At 44.8% G+C, this 26,346-nt stretch overlaps 5 annotated features.

Moving 5' to 3' along the window:
* Window positions 593–887: a silencer, noted in NCBI's record as "tiled region #1775; HepG2 Repressive non-DNase unmatched - State 14:Gen5', and K562 Repressive DNase unmatched - State 5:Enh". NCBI's record gives its function as "represses a minimal TATA promoter and a strong SV40 promoter by Sharpr-MPRA in HepG2 and K562 cells {active_cell/tissue: HepG2 | K562}" and the evidence as "EXISTENCE:reporter gene assay evidence [ECO:0000049][PMID:27701403]".
* Window positions 1,400–1,619: an enhancer, noted in NCBI's record as "active region_7350". NCBI's record gives its function as "activates an Ori minimal core promoter by ATAC-STARR-seq in GM12878 lymphoblastoid cells {active_cell/tissue: GM12878}" and the evidence as "EXISTENCE:reporter gene assay evidence [ECO:0000049][PMID:35858748]".
* Window positions 1,640–1,909: an enhancer, noted in NCBI's record as "active region_7351". NCBI's record gives its function as "activates an Ori minimal core promoter by ATAC-STARR-seq in GM12878 lymphoblastoid cells {active_cell/tissue: GM12878}" and the evidence as "EXISTENCE:reporter gene assay evidence [ECO:0000049][PMID:35858748]".
* Window positions 2,790–2,839: an enhancer, noted in NCBI's record as "active region_7352". NCBI's record gives its function as "activates an Ori minimal core promoter by ATAC-STARR-seq in GM12878 lymphoblastoid cells {active_cell/tissue: GM12878}" and the evidence as "EXISTENCE:reporter gene assay evidence [ECO:0000049][PMID:35858748]".
* Window positions 2,860–2,949: an enhancer, noted in NCBI's record as "active region_7353". NCBI's record gives its function as "activates an Ori minimal core promoter by ATAC-STARR-seq in GM12878 lymphoblastoid cells {active_cell/tissue: GM12878}" and the evidence as "EXISTENCE:reporter gene assay evidence [ECO:0000049][PMID:35858748]".

Raw genomic sequence — 26,346 nt, forward strand, 5'->3', positions numbered from 1 at the left:
TTTTTGAAATCTCGTGTCTAATGGGGGAAGCCTTGAAAGCTTTATATGAAGTTACTGCAAACCAGTAATAGCTTATTAGAGCAAAGTCATTAAGAAAAAGCATAGTTAGTGCATAGGTCTTGTGTGGATATAATGTGAAACTGGTAAATTAGTAGTTTCAATTTGTGTGAGAGCCAGTTTTTTTAAAAAACCACATAGAATGGGATTTTTTAAAAAATTGTATCAATCATAAAATGTCTAGAAAAGATGAGACTCCAAAATAGCCTCCAAAGAGGACTGGTTTCCTGGCTAACTGTTCACCTGAAGGAACTCAAGTACAGAGAATTTCTGGTTTCTTTTGCAAAAACAGATCAGAAACACAAAAAATTACCTGCTGAGCAAATGGGATGAGGGTTGGATTCAGCTTTTCTTGCCAGCAAACTGACGGACATCGTGTATGATGTTTTCTGCCACTCGGGCTGTACAGGGCTATCCTGCCCAGCAAGATTACGTGAGACTAAGCTTTCCCTGTATGAGGCAGACCCTGTACTAGGACAGCACCTATCCTAACTCCTTGCAGCACCTTTTACCCTTGAAGCCGAGGGCATGGTGGGGAGAAACGGCACCTAACCATGGAAACCTTATCTTTAGTTAAGGGGTCAGAGTCCTATTCAAAAAACATCTGATGCATCTCGCCTGCTCCACATTTCCTACAAGGTCTTGCAGGCTCTGGTCACACGTGCATCTTGAGATCTGTGTGCATGCTGCTTTCCAGAACTCCCCCTTCCCTCTCCTGAAGTCGGTCCTACCAGTTAATGCTTTAGTTCCTTTAGAGTTCACTCTGCTTTTTACCTTGAGTTGGATGTCCGACTACAGACATTACAAGATTGCCTTCAGCCCTAGTCAGCATGGCAAATTTGCGATAGCGACTTTCCCTTCCTAGACTAATTGCCACGAGGGCGAGGGCCATGTCGCTGCTCTCTCATGTCCCTAGTGTTTATTAAATGTTCTATGGGAACCTCGAGGAACAGAGAACTTGGGGGTTAGAGATAGGGTGGGATTGATGGAGGTGGGTGGAGAGGAGCCGGGAGAACTTTATACACCATTAGGTCTGACTATTCTGAAGTCATGCTGGTATTTTCTTCCTGAGGTTTGTAGCCTACACTATCTTTTTAATTTTATTTATTTATTTATTTAATTTATTTATTTATTTTTTAGAGTCTCGCTCTGTCTCCCAGGCTGGAGTGCAGTGGCGCCGTCTCGGCTCACTGCAACCTCTGCCTCCCGGGTTCAAGCGGTTCTCATGCCTCAGCCTCCTGGGTAGCTGGGACAGGCATGCGCATACACTGTCTTTTATCCATTTATTCTGGCTTGTTTCTTTGGTGCACAGGAGTAGAGAGAGCCAGTGTGGACAGTCGGGAAGCTTGCGGGATGGACCTCAGTTAAAATGGTGCCATCAGCAGGTGTTGGGGCTGTGATGCTTGAAGTTTAGTTACAGGCGTTGGAAGAGGCACCTTGGATTTAGTTGGGTTTCAGTTCCCCTCCTTGAAGAAGCAAAACAGAAACCATTCCGTATACCTCAGTCTTCGGTAATGTGGACAGTTGAGTCCTTCTGTCAAGTCAGCTGTGCTCAGAGATACACCGTGCGATGCTGCAGTGGCTTTGCTCATGAAGCCTTCGCCTGGGGAGACAGGCAGTCAGGTTCCTGGGATGAGGCTGAGCGCCACAGTGAGTGTGAGGACGGACAGCTGAGGCTTTGGGAGCATCGCAGGGGCCTGGTCTGAGGCCTGAGAAGGAGGGCAGTGGAGTCCAGGAAAGACCCTCAGGGGGAAGCGCCCCTGGAGAGCAGGAGGGACGGTGGAGTGCGCAGGTGGAGGCTCTCAAGCAGGTGTGTGGGTTTTTTATAAGCCGCTTTACAGGTTTGGTATTTAGAACACAGTGGGAAGCCACAGAAGGCTCAAGCGTCATAAGATTTTGGCAACAGGAGTGGGTGCCCAGAGTCCAGGGGCACCCAGCCTTTCCCCCCCAAAGCCTGTGCTCCAGGAAAGGGAGGGTCGCACCGTGGCCACCACAAAGCCTCGTCGTCCAACCCCTCAGCGGACTCATCCCTTGAGTGAGTAGCCACTGCGAATGCCAGGTGCCAGCCCCACCCACGCAGTGGGCTTCTTAATGAGGCAGGAGAAAAGGATTCGGGGCTTCTCCAGTAGTTAGTAAGTGTGAGGTGTGAGCTGCAGTGCCTAAAGCCACCAATACCCGCGGTCAAGGTCAGTTTCCGGTGACAAAACTATGGGTCAGGCAGGTGGTCGAGTGGCTGTGACAAGGTGGTAGCACTGTGACCACCCCCCAGGCATGAAGGATGGGAACCAAATTGCAGGGAATGGCAGCTGGAAGCCGGCGGGCAGGGGAGCCGGGTGGGGCAGAGCTGCAGGTCTTGGGGAGAAGCATTTGCTTTTTGCTTCCTCCCTCCCCTCATGTCTGACCTCCTTTTCCCCTACCAAGGGAAGAAGTCATACATGCTGGGTATTGACAGTGTGGGGATTGGAGCAGTTAAAACAGACACAGTCGGCACAGTTCCCCCGACTAGAGGTAACTTGCTGACATTTTGTCATCTATCCTTTCAAATGTTTTCTAAAAAGAGGGGATTATACTATCGTGCAGTTTCCTAACCATTTTTCACTTTGTGTGACGGCCTTTTCTGTCAGTGAGTTTTACAGCCCTGTTCATAATTATCTAGTGATGCGGAGCGCAGCCAGGTCGTCATTTAGTGTGACAGCCTCTGTGGTTCCTGTCGGATTGTGTTGCTGTGTAGTCCCACTCCTCTGCATGCCGCTTGGCAGAGTGGGTTTAACTCTTGCAGGGAAGTTGATTTCCAGCTGTGTAGACCATCCGTGGTCTCTTTCTTCCACGTGCTTCTCAGGCTGTTGTGTTTGTTACTTTCTTTTTCTCTTTTGAGTCAGAGTCACACTCTGTCACCCAGGCTGGAGTGCAGTGGTGGGATCTCGGCTCACTGCAGCCTCAACCTCCCAGCCTCAAGCCATCCTCCCACCTCAGCCTCTGGAGTAGCTGGGACTACAGGTGTGTGCCACCACACCCAGCTAATTTTAAATTTTTTTTGTAGAGACAGGGTTTCACCACGTTGCCCATGCTGGTCTTGAACTCCTGGGCTCAAGCAATCCTCCCACCTCAGTCTCCCAAAGTGCTGGGATTACAGACGTGAGCCACTGTGCTGGCCACATGTTTGTTACTTTAAACTTATGAGGGTGTGTCCTGCTTTATAAACTCCGAATAGATGGAAAACCAAACTTACTTTTAAAATAAACTCTCTGGGTGTGTGTGTGTGTGTGTGTCTGTGTGTGTGTCTTTGTGCATGTGTCTTTGTGTATCTGTCTCTGTGTGTGTCTCTCTCTCTGTGTGTCTGTGTCTCTGGGTGTGTGTGTGTGTGTCTCTGGGTATGTCTGTGTGTGTGTGTGTGTGTCTCTGGGTGTGTGTGTGTGAATGTGTGTGCGTCTCTGGGTGTGTGTGTCTGCATGTGTGTCTCTGTGTGTGTCTGTGTGTCTCTGTGTGTGTGTGTCTGTGCGTGTCAGTGTGTGTGTGTGTTTGTTGATTTTCGCCATGTGAGCTTCCACTTTGCATCCCCAGCACTGGACATGGGCGAGAGGTGGAAGTCCTAACACATACTGAATTACACACATTTTATTACATGGTTCCCTTCATGCGATTTATTCTATAAATTCACATTTATGGCCATGCCCAGTGGCTCACGCCTGTATTCCCAGCAGCACTTTGGGAGGCTGAGGCAGGAGGATTACTTAAACCCAGGAGTTTGAGACCAGCCTGGGCAACATAGTGAGACCCCCCATCTCTAATTTTTTAGAAGTAAAAAATATATATTTTTATTAAAAAAATTCACACTTAATTTTTCAGAGATGTGCAAGGTCAGCATATGCTCTTATCCCTTCTCACATATTCATATTCTGTGATGCTCCAATTTGGAGCTCAGAAAATATTGATTGATGGTGTTGGATTTGGACTTATAAGAACAAAATCTGGGGAAAAATAGTGTTAACCAAAGGAAAATGTCATAACAGGAGGAAACTGAAAGCTTAAATTGCAAAAATAAAAAGCACATAATGGTCCAGATCCCAGGAGGCCCAAATATGAGAATACATTAGAGATCAGTTGATTAGAGATGGGGTCTGACTCCGTCGTCCAGGCTGGAGAGCCATGGCGTCGTGATCGTAGCTCACTGCAGCCTCGACCTCCTGGGCTCAAGCCATCCTCCAGCCTCCCGAGTAGCTGGGACTACAGGTGTGCACTGCCACACCTGTCTTTCTTGCTTTCCTTTTTATACGGATTTCTCACCTCTAGGTACTCCCGAGAGCGCCTCCTCTATCACCACAGATCCGCGTAGCCTGCATCACTGATCTCACCTCTAGGTACTCCTGAGAACTCCTCCTCCGTCTGTGGATCTGCGTGGTCTCCATCACTGATCTCACCTCTAGGTACTCCCGAGAGTGCCTCCTCCATCACCACAGATCCGCGTAGCCTGCATCACTGATCTCACCTCTAGGTACTCCTGAGAACTCCTCCTCCGTCTGTGGATCTGCGTGGTCTCCATCACTGATCTCACCTCTAGGTACTCCCGAGAGTGCCTCCTCCATCACCACAGATCCGCGTAGCCTGCATCACTGATCTCACCTCTAGGTACTCCTGAGAACTCCTCCTCCGTCTGTGGATCTGCGTGGTCTCCATCACTGATCTCACCTCTAGGTACTCCCGAGAGTGCCTCCTCCATCACCACAGATCCGCGTAGCCTGCATCACTGATCTCACCTCTAGGTACTCCTGAGAACTCCTCCTCTGTCTGTGGATCTGCGTGGTCTCCATCACTGATCTCACCTCTAGGTATTTCCGAGAGAGAGCGCCTCCTCCGTCACTGTGGATCTGCGTAGCCGGCATCACTGATGTCACCTCTAGGTACTCCTGAGAACTCCTCCTCCGTCTGTGGATCTGCGTGGTCTCCATCACTGATCTTACCTCTAGGTATTCCCGAGAGAGAGCGCCTCCTCCGTCACTGTGGATCTGCGTAGCCCGCATCACTGATGTCACCTCTAGGTACTCCTGAGAACGTCTCCTCCATCACTGTGGATCCACGTAGTCTGCATCACTGAGATGTGTCGCGTCATTTCTGTCTTCCTGTTGTGCGTTGCTTTGGCTGAAGTATAGAAATTGCATCAATCCACTGCCTTTCACCCCCGCGAATAGCTTCCTAGGGCCACTGTAATAAATTACTACACAGTGGGTGGCTTAGAACAATTTTATTCCTCAGCCTCCTGGAGGCCACACGTCTGAAATCAGGGTGTCAGCAGGGCAGTGCTCCCTGTGAAGGATCCAGCGAGAAACTGTTCCATGGTGTTCTCTTAGGTCCTGGTGTTGCCGACAACCCTTGCTGACCCTCGGCTGGCAGAGGCATCACTCCCACCTCTGCCTCCGTCATCACAGGGCCCTCTCCCTATGTTGCGTGTCTGTCTCTGTGTCGCCTCTCCTCTTCTAATAAGAACACCAGGAATACCCACCCACATGCCGGCACGGTGCTCCATGCCTGTAATCCTAGCTCTTTGGGAGGCCAAGGCAGGCAGATCACTTGAGGCCAGAAGTTTGAGACCAGCCTAGGCAACCTGGCAACACCTCCTCTCTACAAAAAACAAAAAAATTAGCCAGGTGTGGTGACTTGCACCTGTAGTCCCAGCTACTCAGGAGGCTGAGGTGGGAGGATCGCTTGAGCCCTGGAGGTCAAGGCTTCAGTGAGCCATGATTGCACCACTGCACTCCCGCCTGGGTGACAAAGCAAGACCCTGTCTCAAACAAAACAAAACAAAACAAAAAAACTGAACCACACTACTCCAGTATGGCCTCGTCTTAACCAATTATATCTACAATGACCGTCTTTCCAAATAAAGTCACATTTTGAGATTAAAGGGGTTGGGACTTGAACATGTCCTTTTGGGGGACACAGTTGAACCTACAGCTGTGGTGAGTAAGTGTCTCCAGGCTTTTGATCTCCAGAAGCGTGTTACTACATTCTCCTTTCCATCTCGTGTTGTACATGTGCAAGAGTTTCTCTTGGCTGGACACACACACGCATACACAGAATTGAATGGCTGGATCAAAAAGACATTTACAACACATGCTCACCAAAGGAATGTTGCAAAATGTTCCCCAGTTTGTAACGTCTCTTTTCACTTAAAGTCTTCCTGATTCACAAAAGTTGTTAATTTTAATATGGTTCAACTTATTGATACTTCTTTCAGTTCATGTTTAAAATATCCTTTCCTATCCCATAGTTGAAAAGATATTCACTTACATTTTATTTTATTTTATTTTTTGTGGTGGAGTTTCGCTCTGTTGCTCAGGCTGGAGTGCAATGGCCCGATCTCTGCTCACCACAACCTCCGCCTCCTGGGTTCAAGCAATTCTCCTGCCTCAGCCTCCCGAGTAGCTGGGATTACAGGCATGCACTACCACACCCGGCTAATTTTGTATTTTTAGAAGAGACGAGGTTTCTCCATGTTGGCCAAGGCTGGTCTCGAACTCCCAAACTCAGGTGATCCGCCCACCTTGGCCTCCCAAAGTGCTGGGATTATAGGCTGGGCCACTGAGCCCAGCCTTTCACTTACACTTTATACTAGGAATTTTTAAGTTTTGTTTTTGACAGATGAACCTTGATCCATCAGGAGTTGCTTTTTGCATATAGTGTAAGATAGGGATTTTCTTTTTCTTTTCTTTTCTTTTTCTTTCTTTCTTTTTTTTTTTTTTTTTTTTGAGACAGAATTTCACTCTGTCACCCAGGCTGGAGTGCAGTGGCACGATCAAGGCTCACTGCAGCCTTGCCCCTGCAGTCTCAAGCAATCTTCCTGCCTCAGTCTCCCAAGTAGCTGGGACTACAGGTGTGCACCACCATGCCTGGCTAATTTTTTTTTTTTTTTTTTTTTTTTTTTTTGGTAGAGATGGGGTTTCACCATGTTGTCAGGCTGGGCTCAAGTGATCTGCTCACCCCGGCCTCCCAAAGTACTGGGATTACAGGTGTGAGCCACCATGCCCAGCTGTAGATAGGGGTTTGATTTTGTCTTTTTTTTTGTGGATGACCAGTTTTTCCAGTTCCAGCTAATGAATGGTTCCTTCTGTGCTGATCTGACATGCCGTCCATCCCATGCTCACATCCATAATATGACTGTGTTGCTGGCCTCCCTGTTCTCTTCCATTGGTCAGCATGCCTTTTCCTGGGCCAGTATCACACTGTCTTAAATAATTACTATAGGCTGGGCTCAGTGGCTCACGCCTGTAATCCCGGCACTTTGGGAGGCCAAGGTAGGTGAATCACTTGAGGTCAGGAGTTTGAGACCAGCCTGGCCAATGTGGTGAAACCCTGTCTCTACTAAAAATACAAAAACAAGCCGGGCATGGTGGCACATGCCTGTAATCCCAGCTACTTGGGAGGCTGAGGCAGAAGAATCACTTGAACCCGGGAGACGGAGGTTGCAGTGAGCCAATACTGTGCCATTGCACTCCAGGCTAGGCAACAAGAAAGAAACTCTGTCTCAAAAAAAAAAAAAAATTTACTGTAGTTTGGTAAGTGCTTATATTTGATAAACCAAGTCCTATCTCTCTGTTCTTAAGAAGAGTTTTGGCTATGTTCGATGCTTCCATGAAAATTCCACAAAAAACACTGGGAATTTTGATTGAAATCACACTGAATATACAGCTATTTTTGGGAAGTGTACATATTTCCTAGGATGAATTTTGAGGAGCTGAATTGCAGGTCAAAGACTGTATGAACACAGAGACTTTTGACAAACATCATCCAGTTGCTTTTCACTGGCTGTACTAAGCTACATATAGGCAAGAACTTGGCCGGCTCACCTTTATGTCTTGAGCTCCTAGCTCAGTGCCTGAAACACTTATCAAACCAGCAATGTCTCTTATGCCAGCTGCACCCCAACTTCTCCAGTATAATTTTGTTTTATTTCTTATTTTTATTTTTATTTTTTTGAGATGGAGTCCCGCTCTGTCGCCCAGGCTGGAGTGCAGTGGTGCGATCTCAGCTCACTACAACCTCCACCTCCCAGGTTCAAGCGATTCTCCTGCCTCAGCCTCCTGAGTAGCTGGGATTACAGGTGGGCACCACCACGCCCAGCTAATTTTTGTATTTTTAGTAGAGACGGGTTTCACTCTGTTGGTCAGGCTGGTCTCGAACTCCTGACCTCAGGTGATTCTCTCACCTTGACCTCCCAAAATGCTTCCAAGCTTTGGCATTTATGAAGAAAGCAGCTATAAACATCCAGGTGGAGGTTTTGTCAGGACCTAAGCTTTCAGCTCATTTGGGTAAATACCAAGGAACAGGATGGAGGAATCATATGGTAAGATACTGTTTAGTTTTGTAAGAAACTGCCAAACTGTCTTCCAAAGTGGCTGTACCGTTTGCATTCCCACCAGCGATGAAGGAACGTTCCTGTTGCTCCACAACCTCGCCAGCCTTTGGTGTTGTCCGTGTCCTGAATTTTCACCATTCCAATAGAAGGTGCTGTTTTCTGCTGGTTATGTTTAGAGATATTCATGATAAAAAGTAGTTACACTTTTCAAAATTCTACTAGAGGCCGTGTAGAAAAAGCTTGGAAGCACCCATGATGTCCTCCAGCAGGTGAAAGGATAAGCTGTGGTGCATCCAGAAATGGAATATTATTCAGCACTGAAAAGAACTCGACCATCAAGCCATGGAAAGACATGGGAGAAAAATGCACTTTACTAAGTGAAATAACCTGAAAAGGCCGCAATACCAACTATATGACATTCCAGAAAAGCCAAACCACGGAGACACTATAAAGATCAGTAGTGAGGGTGTGGGTAGGATGAGTGGGTTTCATGCGGAGGGTTTTTAGGGCAGTGTATAACGTTATCACAGGGATACATGTCCTTTCACATTTGTCAAAACCCACGAAATGTGCACCAGCAGACTGAACCCCAGTGTGAACTGTGGGCGATAATGGTGTGTCACTGTAGGTTCATCCGTTGTAACAAATGGACCACTCTAGGGGGATGCTGATATGGGGGAGGCTGTGCATATGTGGGGAGTAGGGGGTGTGCTAGAATCCTCTATACTTTGCACCCAATTTTGCTGTGAACCTAAAACTGCTCTAAAAAAGTCTATTTAAAGTAAAGCAACAACAGAATAAGATTTTAGTATAAATAAGTCTGTTATAAAATAGAGAACACCCATCAATGGATAAAAGTCAAGATTTTTATGTTGATCAATTTATAAGTGAAGTGACTTACAAAACTTTTTTTTTGAGGTCAGGTTAAAGCCATCTCAGCAACAAGTAATGGAGTTGCCAGTCTCCGAAATAAGCCACGTGGGTAGAGAGCAAACCGTTAATAACTTCAGCATTTCTGTGCACAGAACCAGGGAAGTAATGTCTTTAAATACAGCTGCATCTTGAAATATCTGCCACTAATTCAGGCACATTGAAATTGCTGCATTAAACTACTGAACTATAATAGAAGCCTCTGCAACCTTTATTCTGAGTTTACTGGTCCTATTTATAGCAGAGGATCAGAAAAAAAATGTATTGCTATCTGGTGTGACCGTGACAGTGACGTGTGTCTGGCGTAGTAGGTGACCGTGAGGGTGACGGGTGACCGTGACAGTGACGTGTGTCTGGCGTAGTAGGTGACCGTGAGGGTGACGGGTGACCGTGACAGTGACGTGTGTCTGGCGTAGTAGGTGACCGTGAGGGTGACGGGTGACCGTGACAGTGACGTGTGTCTGGCGTAGTAGGTGACCGTGAGGGTGACGGGTGACCGTGACAGTGACGTGTGTCTGGCGTAGTAGGTGACCGTGAGGGTGACGGGTGACCGTGACAGTGACGTGTGTCTGGCGTAGTAGGTGACCGTGAGGGTGACGGGTGACCGTGACAGTGACGTGTGTCTGGCGTAGTAGGTGACCGTGAGGGTGACGGGTGACCGTGACAGTGACGTGTGTCTGGCGTAGTAGGTGACCGTGAGGGTGACGGGTGACCGTGACAGTGACGTGTGTCTGGCGTAGTAGGTGACCGTGAGGGTGACGGGTGACTATGAGTGATGTGTGTCTGGTGTAATAGTCGACCATGATGGTGATAGGTGATGGTGACAGTGATGTGGTCTGGTGTAACAGGTGACCGTGATGGTAATAGATGACCGTGACAATGACATATGTCTGATGTAATAGTTGACCGTGAGGGTTACAGGAGAAAGTTGTACCGTCTGTTTCCACGGGAACATCTGTAGAGCATGTTTGGCTAATGTTTCTCTTAGTGCACATTGGAACCATGCCATTCTGTTTTCCCTGCCCCCACCTGACAGCACAGTGCCCAGCACATGTACATGTACGGTATTAACATTGTCAGAACACATAGCTGTGACATGGTATCACTCTCTCCCCTACAGGCATTCGTCCTAATTCTGCAAGGAGATGTATATTCCATGCTAACCAGCAGTCCCTGGTGTCTCTCCAGTCATTTAGATGGTCTGAAGCAACATGGGCTTAGCCATTTGGGATTAATTTTCCTGGATATTGTGCCCTTCCAATACCTAATTTCAAGGTTTTTTTGATTTCAGGAAACAGTTCTCAAAATATACTTTTTTTTTTGAGACAGAGTCTCACTCTGTCCCCAGGCTGGAGTGCAATGGGGTGATCTCAGCTCACTGCAAACTCCGCCTCCCAGATTCAAGCGATTCTCCTGCCTCGGCCTCCCGAGTAGCTGGGATTACAGGCACGCACCACCACACCTGGCTAATTTGTGTGTGTGTGTTTCAGTAGAGACGGGGTTTCACTATGTTGGCCAGTCTGGTTTCGAACTCCTGACCTCAAGGGATCCACCTGCCTTGGCCCCTCAAAGTGCTGGGATTACGGGTGTGAGCCACCACGCCAGGCCCAAATATACGTTTTAATATTATTTTGTATTACTGCCTTGGTTTTCCTCTTCAGCAACTCCTATTAAATTTATATTAGATCTTTTTTTCTGATCTTCTATACTTATTCCTCATTTTGAATTGGTTTCATCTTGTCATTTATTTTTAATTTCAACTTTATGGAGGTATAATTGAAGTACACTAAAACACAGATATTGATGGTGTAACCTTTGTTTTTGAGGTGCATGTGGAGTTTCACATCCATTACACTCAAGGTAGCAGCTATTTCTATGACCCCCAAAAGTTTCTAGTGCCCATCTATATCCATCCCTACCTCCACCCCATCCCCAGGATGTGGTTTCTGTCATTATATGCTAGTTTTCATGTTCCAGAAATTCAGACAAATAGAATTATACAGTATATTCTATTTTTCTTTTCTTTTCTTTCTTTTTTATTTTTATTTATTTTTTTTGAGACGAAGTCTCACTGTCACCCAGGCTGAAATGCAGTGGCATGATCTTGGCTCACTGCAACCTCTGCCTCCCAGGTTCAAGCCATTCTCCTGCCTCAGCCTCCAGAGTAGCTGGGATTACAGGTGCCCACCACCACAACCGGCTAAATTTTTTATTTTTAGTACAGACAGGGTTTTGCCATGTTGCCCAGACTGGTCTTGAACTCCCGACCTCAGGCGATCCGCCCGCCTCGGCCTCCCAAAGTGCTGGGATTACAGGCGTGAGCCGCCGCGCCCAGCCGTGATTCTGTTTGGCTTCTTTTACGCTGTGTACTTCTGAGGTTCAACTGTGCTATCACTTGTGTCAGTAGCTTCCTTTTTTAATTGCTGAATAACATCCCACCGTATGGATACATCACCCTTCCTTTGTCCATGAAGTGCCCGCCCACTTCATTTCATGGGTATTTCAGTTGTTTCCAGCTTTTGGCTATTGGAAATACAGCTGTGAAGGATATCTGTATACCAGTGCTTATGTGGGCATGTACTTTTTTTCCCCTGGAGCAAGTCTGAAATGGTTGGGTCATATGGTGGTGTATGTTTACTGTTTCAAGAAAGAAAGTCCTATTTTTTCTAGGATTTATCCCATCTTATACCGCCACCAGCAGTGCGTGAGACAATGCCTGTTGTTTACAAGTGTGTGGCAGTGTCTCCTTGTGGTTTTCATTTGTGTTTCCCTGATGATGGAGGGGAACATTTCTTCTTCTTCCTTCTTCTTTTTCTTCTTTTTTTTCTTTTTTCTTTTTTTCTTTTTTTTTTTTTTGTTTGAGACGAGTCTTGCTCTGTCACCTGGGCTAGAGTTCAGTGGTAGGATCTCGGCTCACTGCAACCTCCGCCTCCCGGGTTCAAGTGATTCTGCTGCCTCAACCTCCCGAGTAGCTGGATTACTGGCGCACACCACAACGCCTGGCTAATTTTTGTATTTTTAGTAGAGCTGGGGTTTCGCCATGTTGGCCAGGCTGGTCTCAAACTCCTGACCTCAGGTGATCTGCCTGCCTTGGCCTCCCAAAGTGCTGGGATTACAGGTGTGAGCCACCACGCCTGGCATGGGGCACATTTTTTCATGTGCTTATTGGTTATTTTAAATATTATTCTATGAAATGTCTGTTGCCTATTTTTTTAAAAGTGGGTTATTTGTTTTCTGGTTATTGGCTTTTAAGAGTAAGTTCTGGATGTAAGTCCTTTGTCTGGCATGTGTGGTGCAAATGTTTTCTTCAATGGATGGCTTGCCTTTCTGTTTTTAAAAATGGGTTATTTCAAAGAGCAAGATATTTTATTCTATTTCATTTTTATTGTTTATTTTTTGAGACCGAGTCTTGCTCTGTTGCCTAGGCTGGGTGCAGTGGCACGATCTCGGCTCACTGCAATCTCTGCCATCCAGGTTCAAGCAATTCTTGTGCCTCAGCCTCCCGAGTAGCTGGGACCACAGGCAAGCACCACCATGTCCAGCTAATTTTTGTATGTTTAGTAGAGACAGGGTTTCACCATGTTGGCCAGGCTGGTCTCGAACCCCCGACCTCAAGTGATCCTCCTGCCTTGGCCTCCCAAAGGGCTGGGATGACAGGCGTGAGCCACTGTGCCCAGCCAGAGCAAGATATTTTACTTTTGATGAAGTCTAGTTAATTTTTTTCTCTTGTGGTCTATGCCATATCACTAAGATTTTCTTCCTGTTCTAGAGACTCATCGTTTGGAATTTTACATATACCTCTGTGACATATTTTGGATTAAACTTGCATATGGCGTGAGGTGTTAAGAGTTATTTTTCTTCCCCGCGTGAGTATCCAGTTGATACAGCACCATTCATTGAAAAGAATTTCCTTTCTGTGTTAAATTACCTGGACATCTTGTTGAATCAATTGACAAAAGATGTGTGGGTCTGTTCCTAAACTTGCAGATTCTGTGTCATTGATCTCTGTGACTATTTTTCTGACAAGGTATTTTGATTTATGTAGTTTTGTTATTGTTGTTTGTTTGTTTGTTTGTTTGAGATAGGGCCTCACTTTGTCTCCCAGGCTGGAGTGCAGTGGCGCAATCTTGGCTCACTGCAGCCTTGATCTTCCAGGCTCACATGATCGTCCCACATCAGCCTCCCAAGTAGCTGGGACTACAGGCGTGTACCACCCCACCTGGCTAATTTTTGTATTTTTTGGCCTCCCAAAGTGCTAGGATTACAGGTGTGAGCCACCACACTTGGCCTTGATTTATGTAATTTTAAGCCTTGAAGTTAGGTAGGTTAAGTATTTCAGTTTTTTTTTTTTAATGATTGATTTTAGTTGGGCACGGTGGATAATACCTGTAACCCCAGCAACTCAGGAGGCTGAGGTGGGAGGATCACTTGAGGCCAGGAGTTTGAGACCAGCTTGGGTAACATAGGGAGACCCCACCTCTACTAAAAATAAAAATATGGTCGGGGGTGGTGGCTCACGCCTGTAATCCCATCACTTTGGGAGGCCAATGTGGGCGGATCACTTGAGCTCACAAGTTCCAGACCAGCCTGGGTGACATGGCAAAAGCCTGTCTCTACAAAAAAATACAAAAATTAACCAGGCATGGTAGTGGGTGCCTGTAGTCCCAGCTACTTGGGAGGCTGAGGTGGGAGGATGGCATGAGCCTGGGAGGGCGGAGGTTGCAGTGAGTCGAGATCGCGCCATCGCACTCCAGCCTGGGCAATAGAGCCAGACCTTGTCTTGAAAAATAAATAAATAAATAAAAATAAATGAGGGATTTGAGTCCCGCCCCTAGACCTTATGGAACCTTAATTCCTGCCTTACTCCAAATACAACCACACTGGGAGTTCAGGCTCCAGCATAGGAATCTTGGTGACAGAGACATTCAGTGCGTAGCAGCTGCTCGGAGGTACAGACGCCCCGGCACCTGCAGCGCTCCCTGGACTCCTCACAGCAGCCTCCCACTTTGCTCTTAGCCTCCGCGGAGAAGCTTGTTGACTTGTTGGGATTCTGCTTTCAGGAACTGCAGATGCCCTGTTGCCTTTTTATGCCTTTCTTACCAAGATGCTGGTGCTGAAAATGCCACCTGCAAAATTTCATTCCAAAACGTTGAATCCAGCTTTTAAACTACAGTTTCATAGGAATACAGGATGCAAAAGATTAGGTTAAATTACACTACACAAAATCAGCAAAATCCAGAATGTGTGGAACTCAACAGAACAGTGATTTTCCTAGAAAAACTACAACAAAGACCAAGGGATGGAATTGTAAAATTGTAGTTTAAAAGAGACTTAAGAGCCTCGTGAATTGAAGGCCATCTCTGGATCTAGTTTGGATCTTGATTTTAACAGTGAAAAAAAATATTTGCTAGATAAATAAATTTGAGGACTCTATATTTGATGATTCTAAGGAATTGTTAATTTTTTGTGTGATAATAAGTTTTTAAAAGGTCTACTTTGGTGTATGTAAGAAAACGTCTGTAATAAAAAAACTCATTGACCAGCCTGGGCAGCATGGTGAGACCCAGTCTCTACAAAAAATACAAAAGTTAGCTTGGTGTGGTTGTGTGTGCCTATAGTCCCAGCTACTTGGGAGGCTGAGGTGGGAGGATCACCTGAGCCCAGGAGGCAGAGGTTGCAGTGAGCTATAGTTGCACCACTGCACTCCAGCCTGAGTGACAGAGTGAGACCCTGTCTCAAAACAAACAAACAGCAACAAAAACTCATTGAAAAAGTTTCACAGCATTGAAACTTTTATCTATTTTATCCACCTTTTTATCTATCAATGACTGCAATCATTGATGATTAATAGATCCACTATTTCATCTATTAATCAATGATTGTGATGCGTTACTTTGCTTATCCTATTACACCTGCATTTGTCAGGTGTGACTGTCTTGTGCAGAATGGTTTTTCTTCGGCCGGGCGCGGTGGCTCACGCCTGTAATCCCAGCACTTTGGGAGGCAAAGGCAGGCGGATCACGAGGTCAGGAGATCGAGACCATCCTGGCTAACACAGTGAAACCCCGTCTCTACTAAAAATACAAAAAATTAGCTGGGCGTGGTGGTGGGCGCCTGTAGTCCCAGCTACTCGGGAGGCTGAGGCAGGAGAATGGCGTGAACCCAGGAGGCGGAGCTTGCAGTGAGCCGAGATTGCGCCACTGCACTCCAGCCTGGGTGACAGAGCGAGACTCTGTCTCAAAAAAAAAAAAAAAAAAAGAAAAAAGAATGGCTTTTCTTCATCAACAATTTGGTTATCCTAAAATACAGTTCATGTAGAACACACAGAATTAATACTTGATTTTTTTCCTTATCAATTTTCTGGATACTGATTTGGTGCCCTGGTCACTTGCAGAAGTAGCTGATAGTATTTCCCTTTGCAGTCTCACGTGGGCGTAGATTTTTATGTATTTGGTGTGGTTCCACATATTGCAGTCATTATTTTCTTTTTCTTTTCTTTCTTTCTTTCTTTTTTTTTTGAGATGGAGTCTCACTCTCTTGCCTAGGCTGGAGTGCAGTGGCAAGGTCTCGGCTCACTGCAACTTCCATTTCCCGGGCTCAAGTGATTCTCATGCCTCAGCTTCCCGAATAGCTGGAATTACAGGCTTGCACCACCATACCCAGCTAATTTTTTTGTATTTTTAGTGGAGATGGGGTTTCACCATGTTGGCCAGGCTGGTCTTGAACTCCTGACCTCAAGTGATCCGCCTGCCTCCTTGGCCTCCCAAAGTGCTGGGATTACAGGCATGAGCCACCACGCCTGGTCATTATTTTCTCTTTTGATGGTCAAATTACACTATCTTTGGCATCACTGCAGTATGACACTTTTCCCGTTTAATAACGTTTTTGCTTTCAGTCATGACAAAATGTCCTGGGATGATCGTACATATTTCTGGCTCCAGACTAAGTATCAGAGTTTCCCCAGCAAGCCCTGAGTCTTGTTAACGAGAAATGCTCTGCAGAGACCTGGGTCTAGGGGCTCAAGATGTTTGCTGTTACCAGTTTGTCATTGCTACTCGACTATTTTGGGGACACAACTAGGAAACAATTTTTTTTGAAAGGGAAAAATATTAATAAATCCCTGGATCTTTTGAATTCACTTTTACAACAGCATAGGTATTACATCACATCATATTGTATTCCAGGATATGTTCAATTAGACCCTCTTGAAAAACATGTAGGTGATTTCCAGTCTTTTGTAATGAAAGTTGATATGGTGTAGCTCTGTGTCCCCACCCAAATCTCACCTTGACTTATAATAATTCCTATGGGTCAAGGGCCGGACCAGGTAGACGTAATTGAATCACAAGGGCAGTTTCCCCCATGCTGTACTCGTGATAATGAGTGAGTCTCACAAGATCTGATGGTTTTCTAAGTGTCTGGCATTTCCTCCTTTGCTCGGCACTCATTCTCTCTCCTGCCGCCCTGTGAAGAGGTGTCTTCTGTCATGATTGTAAGTTTCCTGAGGCCTTCCCAGCCATGCAGAACTGTGAGTCAATTAAACCTCGTTTCTTTATAAATTACCCGGTCTTGGGTATTTCTTCATAGCAGCATGAGAACGGATGAATACAAAGTCTTGCGTACTTATAATTTCATATAGTTGTGCCAGAACATCTTTGTAGCAGAAGTGAGACTGGGGTCAAAGGGTAAAGGCATATTCAATTTGGCTAAATACTGCCAACTTCTTCCCTTTAGGGGTCATAACCATTTTCATTCCCACCAGCAATGTATTCTGTTTTAGCCAAGGTCATTTTAAAAAATTTATACAACTTAAAACTTTTCAGGACCAGATGGAATGACTCACGCCTATAATTCCAGCACTTTGGGAGACAGAGCTGGGAAAATCTCTTGAGGCCAGGAGTTCCAGGCTGGCCTGGGCAACAAAGCAAGGCCTCGTCTCTAAAATCAAAACAAAATTATCATGAAAGCATGGATTTCCATTTTCTCTCGAGAAACGAGATGATCTGGCCATGCCCGTTCCTGTGTGGAGGGACAGAGTTCAGCAGATCACCAGGACTCCGGCTTCTGGAAAATGCAGGCCTGCTTGCTCACACTTGGTGTAGGTGCTAGTTTACAGGCATTTGAATTTCAGAGTTCTTGTTATAAGCTGGACTTTGCCATTTACCTGTGAATGAGACACACATGTCTCTGCTCTAATGGTGCTTACGTGTGTGTGTGTGTGCATGCATGTGTGTGTGTGTACATGCATGTGTGTCCACATGTGTGAATATAGAGGGGGCTCAGCATGCTTTATAACATGTTTATATAACATAGAAATTGTCAGCCTGGGCAACATGGTGAAACCACGTCTCTACTAAAAATACAAAAATTAGCCAGGTATGGTGGCACTCACCTGTAATCCCAGCTACTTAGGAGGCTGAGGTGGGAGGATTGCTTGAGCCCTGGAGGTCGAGGCTGCAGTGAGCCGTGATGGCACCACTGCAGTTTGGCCTGGGCAACAGAGTGAGACTCTGTCTCAAAAAGAAAAAAAAAAAAGAAATCAACCTATGGTTAAATTTGTAATGCCTTCCTCAGAATTTTATAAATTATTTTCATTGCAGAGAAATTGGGTTGAATTTGAAATAGTGGGAGTACTTGCCCTTCATCTTAATGAGGCCAGCACAGAAGGAAAGGCGGGAGTGTGTGGAGTCTACAGCCTGGCCTCGAAGGCTGAGGGCACCTGGAATTTTGTGTCTAACAACCGAGGATTACTGCAGGGGCTGAGGAGGGCAGGGCCGACGGTGCTCATCGGAGGCAACATCACTGCTGAGATGTTGAGAAAGATGGAAATTGTGCTGGCTTGGGATTCTCCTATGATTAAATCACCCAATATTTAATCCTATTAAATCCTCACAGTGCTCTAGTTTAATAAAACTCTTTAATATATGTCATAGGAAGGCCTTGTTATCCGAAGATAATTGGTATTAAAAGTAACCACTTGAAAAGAGTCTACTTAACACAAGGACAGGAATCTTACAGTGACAGTGTGACAAGTTTTGGATTTGATGCTATGGATTTCATAATTGAAATTGTATGCTGATTCTTGGAACAAAGCAAAAAACGAGCTGCGTTCATTTGGGAGGAACGTCATTTGTATGGTAGAATTATAGTTTATTCTTCAATTCGCACTTGGTTTTCACAGCATAATCATAAGAACAGATTTCTATGAAAATACTTCAGGGCTTCATCAGCTTCCCGGAGGCCCTTCCTTTGTCTTCTGTCCTCAGAATATTCTCTTATGGACATCGATTGTCCTCGGGACATTTGGACAGTTCTCCCAAGGGACCTTCTGTTTTTTTCTTTCCTTTTTTTGAGGCAGGGTCTCACTCTGAGGCCCAGGCTGGAGTGCAGTGGCGCAATCTCACCTCACTGCAACCTCCGCCTCCTGGGCTCAAGCCATCCTCCCACCTCAGCCTCCCAAGTAGCTGGGATTACAGGGGCTCGCCACCACACCTGGCTAATTTCTGTAGTTTTTGTAGAAGTGGGATTTCGCCATGTGGCCCAGGCTGGTCTTGAACTCCTGAGCTGAAGGAATCCACCTGCCTTGGCCTCCCAAAATGCTGGGATTACAGGCATGTGCCACCGCACCTGGCCCCGGGTGATCTTCTGTTGCAGGATTTGCAATGTCTCTTTTAACTGGTTTAACTCCAATTCCGTTCATCAGAGAGGGCCAGGACGACCAAGGCCAGGGATTTTGACTCCCTGACTTGGATGATAGGTGCCAACATGAGGCAGGGGGAGTTGTCGAGGAGCCATTTTGTAAGTGATCAATAGTGAATAACGTCGGGTGTTGATGACTTTCGCCTCCTCTTGCAACCTCGATGAGGATATTTGGATAATGAGAAGCTGTTGTGTTTCATTGGATTCTTATGATAATCCTGATAACCAGCCAAGGTCCCACAGCCAGGACACACAGGATGTCATCCACCCCGTACCTATGAGCCTCTGTGACACCATTAGGCCCAGCGCTGCTGTAGGTACTGTGAAAAGAGGGATATTTTTAGGTCAATCAACAATGTTAACATATGCATATATTTAAAAAGTCTTAAATTATTATTATTTGCCGGGCACGGTGGCTCCCGCCTATAATCCCAGCACTTTGGGAGGCCAAGGCGGGTAGATCACCTGAGGTCAGGAGTTCAAGACCAGCCTGGCCAACATGGCGAAACCCCGTCTCCACTAAAGACACACACACACACACACACACACACACACACACAAAATTAGCCGGGTGTGGTGGCGGGCACCTGTAATCCCAGCTACTAGAGAGGCTGAGATCCACCATGTCTGGCCACTTTCTTTTTGTATTTTTGTAGAGACAGGGTTTCATGATACTGGCTGTTGTTAAACTCCTGACCTCAGGTGATCTGCCTGCCTCGGCCTCCCAAAGTGCTGGCATTACAGGCGTGAGCCACTGCGCCCAGCTAGGAAAAGAAAATTACCATTTTGTTTTATTACACGAGTGGATGTTAATTATAAAAATATTCAGACACTATATAGAAATAGCACAGCCATCCACAGTCCTGCACTTTGAGACAAGCTTCTGTGTGTTATGGCACAAGTCATTGTTTGTGACCGGTTTCTCATAGACTTTTAAAAAGCACGGTCGTTTCATTTTCCTTCCATCTTCTCTCACCAGGTAACAGCCTGGTGGTCTATCCTTCCATGCTTTCTCCGTTGTCACAGTGTGTGTGTGTGCTTGTGTGTGTTGTGTGTGTGTGTGCACAGATTTGATGGTGTCTTAGGGTTCTCCAGAGGGACAGAACCAACAGGATGTATGTATACATGAAAGGATCTTATTAGGGAAAATTGGCTCACACGATCACAAGACGAGGTCCCAGGATAGGCCGTCTGCAAGCTGGGCAAGAGAGAAGCCGGTAGTGGCTCAGTCCGTGTCCAAAAGCCTCAAACCAAGAAAGTCGACAGTGCCACCTTCTCTCTGTGGCAGAAGGCTTGAGACCTTCCAGAAGCCACAGATGCAAGTCCCAGAGTCCAAAGGCAGGAGAACCTGGAGGCTGATGTCCAAGGGCAGAAGGAGAGGGAGGAAGCATCCAGCACAGGAGAAAGAAGGAAGCCGGGAGACCCAGCAAGCCAGGTCATCCCATCTTCCTCCTGCCTTGTCCCAGCCGCGCTGGCAGCCCACTGGATGGTGCCCACCCACATCGAGGGTATGTTTCCTCTCCCAGTCCACCAACTCAAATGTCCATCTCCTCTGGCAACATCCTCACACCCAAGAACCATACTTCACCAGCCATCTAGGCCTCTTCAGTCCAAACAAGTTGACGTCTAATATTTACCATCACAGATGAATTTCAATACTTTTGATTATTTGAACAGGGAACACGCAGACACTCACATGATCCACAGCCCACGAAGTGCTGACAGGCACACTGGTGGGAAGTCTCTCCCCATCCATGCAATCTTTGTCTCACCCCGATAGACACTGGCTGGTATTGGCTTCCTGTATGTCCTGTCATAATTTGTTTATGCTCAAACACATAAGAATATAGACTTTTATTCTTCCACCAGTTATAAAAGCAAACAAAAGCTAGTTTGTTTAGACAATATGCGTTTGGCTTTTTCACAGAAGAGCATATCTTGGAGATAATTTCACAGTGAGTATTGAGATCCCTCTAAGTAGCTGTATACCATCGAGGCTGGATGGATGCATCAAAATTGAATAACCAGCCCCCTATTGAGGACATTTGGGTTGGTTATCATATTATTACAAACACTACTGTGAATATATTCTTGCACACTTGTTATTTTGCATATGTGCAAATACATCTGCAGGATCAACCCCTAGAAGTGGAATTGTTGGGTCACAGATGAATGTCGCTAGCTGCTGCTTAACGGCCTGCACTATTGTGCTGCTCACATTCCCATTAGCAGAGTGGGAGCGCTCTCGTTCTCCCGTAGCTTTGATACCAGCCTGTGTTATTAAACTTTTGGAACTCTGCCATTCTGATAAGTGAAAAATGTAATTCCGCGTGGCTTTAATTTGCATTTATCTTATCACAGGTGAGATTTAACCTCTTCACTTGTGTAACAGCTATTCCTAGTTCTTTGTAAATTGCATGCTCATAGCCTTCCTTTCTCTATTTTCTTTGTTAGTTGCCTCTCCTTTTTGAAAATGCATTTCTAGGAGCTCTTTATTATGAAGAACATCCCTTGTAATGAGATGCAAACATTTTTTCCCAGTTCATCATTTGCCTTTTGCTTTTGCATTTTTATTTATTTTAATTTTTTTTGAGACAGAATCTTGCACTGTCCCCCAGGCTGGAGTGCAGTGTCGTGATCTCGGCTCACTGCAATCTCCGCCTCCCGGTTCTTGTGCTTCAGCCTCCCGAGTAGCTGGGGTTACAGGCGCACTCCACCATGCCCAGCTAATTTTTGTATTTTTAGTAGAGATGGGGTTTCATCATGTTGGCCAGGCTGGTCTCAAACTCCTGACCTCAACTGATCCACCCGCCTTGGCCTCCCAAAGTGCTGGGATGACAGGCCTGAGCCACTGTGCCCGGCCTTATTTTCTTTTTCAAGATAGTTATGCCTATGTTTCAACACCATTACTGAAGAGTTACCCATAATTTCTCTGAGATGTCAAACTTATCATATGTTATATTCTCATTTGTACTGAGGCGTGTTCCTGTGCTTTTGATAGCATTACAATGATCTATTTTTGTGCCAAGGCCACCAGGGTTAATTATTGTAACTTCATAATCCATCCTCTTCATATATATATGAAAATATATATATATATACACTTTATATATATATATACACTTTATATATATATACACTTTATATATATATATACACTTTATATATATATATACATATATATATATATATACACTTTATATATATATACACTTTTTTTCTGGTTACTCTTGCTTGTTTATTTTTCCTCTTAACCTAGTTCCAACAAAACAGAACCCAATGCAAGCAAAGAATCTAGTTATAGTATTTGTGTTAGCAACACTTCATATTTATAAATTAACATAGAGACAAGGACACTTTATTATATTGAGTCCTTGTTCAGGGCTGAATTATGTGCCTTCACACCCTGAAACTCATGTGTTGAAGCCTTAACCCCTGGTCCTCAGAATGTGATTGTGTTTGGAGATAGTCTTTAAAAAGGTGATTAAATTAAAACGAGGCCCTTAGGGTGGATCCTGTTCTAATCTGACTTATGTCCTTGTAAGAAGAGGAGAGTCAGACATGCAAGGAGATACCAGGGATGGACGAACACCGAGAAAAATACCCTATGAGGACACGGGCAAGAAGGCAGCCGTCTGCAAGCCAAGGAGAGAGCCCCCAGGAGAAACTCGCCCTGCTGACTCCTTGGCCTTGAACCTGCAAGCTCCGGAACTGTGAGAGAATACATTTTACACATTTTGTTGTTTAAGGCAAAAGGTCTGGGGAACTTTATTATGGCAGTCCTAGCTAACTAATTCAGTCCTCTCTCCAAGAATATAATATTTCTTTCTATTTCTTCATACTAAAAAATTAATACATTAAGGGTTTTCTTCACTCAGTTCTTGTAGAGTTCTTAAGCTTATTTTGAGGTATTTTAAATTTTTTTTGGTGGGATGCTTTTTTAAGTATATAGAGTCATTTTTTCTTATACCTTTTAAGCGATACTTCTTTGTATATATGAAAGTTCATTAAATTTGCCTTTGTAGTGTCTTTCCATTGTTTGTTTTACAAAAAATGGGACTTATCTACTCACCCACACTGAACTTTTTTTACTTAGCAATACATAGTGGAACTACCTTCAATTTGTTCAAGTCAACAAATTCCCCCCAACTCTCATATACCCACCACCTAGAACCTACCATTCACATTTTACTATGCTTGTTTTGTCACTCATTTATCTGTCTGTCTGTCTGTCTATCTTTTTTTTTTTTGAGACAGAGTTTCATTCTTGTTGCCCAGGCTGGCACAGTCTCTGCTCATTGCAACCTCTGCCTCCCTGGTTCAAGCGATTCTCCTGCCTCAGCCTCCCAAGTAGCTGGGATTACAGGCACCCGCCACTATGTTGGGCTAATTTTTGTATTTTTAGTAGAGGCAGGGTTTCACCGTGTTGGCCAGGCTGGTGTTCAACTCTTGACCTCAGGTGATTCACCCACCTTGGCCTCCCAAAGTGCTGGGATTACAGATGTGAGCCACCGTGCCTGGCCCTATCTGTCTGTCTGTCTATCTATCTATCTATCTACCTATCTATCATCTATCTATCTATCTTTCTATCTATATCTATCTATTCCTTTCTATTTCCATAAACCCATTCTTTTTAATGGGAGCATAATATTTGCCCTTTATAAAATACTACAGTTTGTTAAACTGATAGTTTGTTACTCCATTTCTAGTCTTTCCTCCTAACTACAAATATTTCTGCAATATATATTCTTACTTATGTGTTGATGCTTTTATTTCTGTAAGATAGATTCCCAGATGGAATGGAAATAATTTAATAGATATTGCCAGGTTGCTCTCCCAAATGGATAACTCACATTTCTAGGCTTGTTTAAGAACACCTTCTTTCTTCCTTGCATCCTTCCAGCTAATATCACTCTTTTACATTTTGAAGATTTACTGGGTATAAAATGATATTTCATTATTATTTGAATTTGCCCTTCCCTGACTCCAAGGAAGTGGGAGCATCCTTCATTTGTATAAAGACCATTTTACTTTGTATGTTTCTTCTTTGTATTTTTTGATTCTTTAAAAAAGTAGGTTTTTGGCCGGGCATGGTGGCTCATGCCTATAATCCCAGCACTTTGGAAGGCTGAGGTTGGAGGATAGCTTGAGCCCAGGAGTTTGAGACCAGTCTGGGCAACATGGCGAAACCCCGTCTCTAAAATTGAAAGGAGAAAAAAGAAAAAAAAATTAGGTTGTTTGTCTTTTGGTCATTATTTGGTATTGATTTGTAAGATAATGTTTGGCATTTCGTATGCTGTGCAAATATTTTCTTTCTTTCTTTCTTCCTTTTTTTTTTTTGAGACGGAGTCTTGTTCTGTCACCCAGGCTGGAGTGCAGTGGCATGATCTCAGCTCACTGCAACCTCCGCCTCCTGGGTTCAAGCGATTCTCCTGCCTCAGCCTCCCAAGTAGCTGGGATTACAGGCACCCACCACCACGCCCGGCTAATTTTTGTATTTTTTAGTAGAGGTGGGGTTTCGCCATGTTGGCCAGGCTGGTCTCGAACTCCTGACCTCAGGTGATCCACCCGCCTCAGCCTCCCAAAGTGCTGGGATTACAGGCATGAGCCATTGCACCTGGTCTAATATTTTCTTAATTTTTCATTTGTCTACTGATATTTTTGACATTTTTTTGGTCATGCAATTACAATTATGGCTGAATATTTTTTATCTTTCTATCATGGTTTCTGGATTTCTGTTGGCCCTGAATAGGTTCCTCTAATCTAAGTTGTATGGATAGTCTTGTAAATGATTTTGGCATTTTAATTTTATTTGTTTGCATGAAAGTGTTACTCTTTCTGGAAATTATTCTGTGTCTAGAGATCCAGGTCCGGTTTGTCTTTCCTTCTCCCATACTGATGACGTGTTTGCTGCAGTGGCATTTATTAAGTAGCCCCTCCGCCCACCTCCCCCGTGGCAGTGACAACCGTGCCCTGTGCTAATCCTCAGGCAGCAGGGCTCCATTCTGAGCGTCTGTGCTACCTTCAACTTCTCCAGCCCTAGATCCCCAGGATTCTGAGTGGATTTTGACTCCGTTGTCCTCTCTGGTGTGTAATCCCCCTTTATTTCCCACCATTTCCTTGGCTATTCTTGAATTTTTTTTTTTTTTTTTTTTTTTTTTTTTTTTTTTTTTTTTTTTTTTTTTTTTTAGACAAGTCTTGCTCTGTTGCTCAGGCTGGAGTGCAGCGGTGTGGTCTTGGCTCACTGCAGCCTCTACCTCCAGGGTTCAAGAGATTCTCCTGCCCCAGCCACTCAAGTAGCTGGGACTACAGGCATGCACCACCACCATGCCCGGCTAACATTTTCTGTATTTTTAGTAGAGACAGGGTTTCACCATGTTGACCAGGCTGGTCTCAAACTCCTGACTTCAAGTGATCCACCTGCCCTGGCCTCCCAAAGTTCTGGGATTACAGGCATGAGCCATCGCACCTGTGGAACATTTCTTATACTGTATGTATTAAAACCATTTTATCCAATTGAAAATGTGATTCAATTACAATCTTAAAAAATATTTAGAATAATGAGAGGAGAATCAGTCTTCTACAGTTAGTTTTTTCATCCAGGGATACAGTATCTTTTTCCATTTGTGTAGATCTTGTTTCACATCCTCCAATACTCCAATAAGATACTATGTTTTAAAATTCATCTTATTCTGTTATTTTAACTTAAAAAACTGTATTTTGACAAATGAAACTTTTTTTTTTTTTGAGACAGAGCCTCACTTCGTTACCAGGCTGGAGTGCAGTGGCGCGATCTCGGCTCGCTGCAACCTCCTCTTCCCGGGCTCAAGCAATTCTTCTGCCTCAGCCTCCCGAGTAGCTGGGACTACAGGCACACGCCACCATGCCAGCTAATTTTTGTATTTTTAGTAGAGATGAGGTTTCGCCATGTTGGTCAGGCTGGTCTCGATCTTGTGACCTCGTGATCTGCCTGCCTCAGCCTCCCAAAGTGCTGAGATTACAGGCATGAGCCACCGTGCCTGGCCAATTTTTCTTCATTTTTAAGTGTTATCTGGTTATTGCTAACTTACAGAAAAAAATTTAAAGACTGTATTTATCTTTAATCCAAGTGTCTTCACACACTCTTGTTTCTTTTGTTCATTAGTTTATTTTTCAGGTATTTTGCTTTTTCAAGGTATGTAATCATAGAGAGCAAAAGAGATTATATTATCACATTTCTAATGTTTATACTGATTATTTTATTTTCTCATATTCTTAAGTATGCTGAAATTGCTAATTGATAATAAATGAAAAGGTATTAGTATTTACTG

The sequence above is a fragment of the Homo sapiens genome, chromosome 12 (assembly GCF_000001405.40).
Source record: "Homo sapiens chromosome 12, GRCh38.p14 Primary Assembly".
In the NCBI taxonomy this organism is placed as follows: Eukaryota; Metazoa; Chordata; class Mammalia; order Primates; family Hominidae; genus Homo; species Homo sapiens.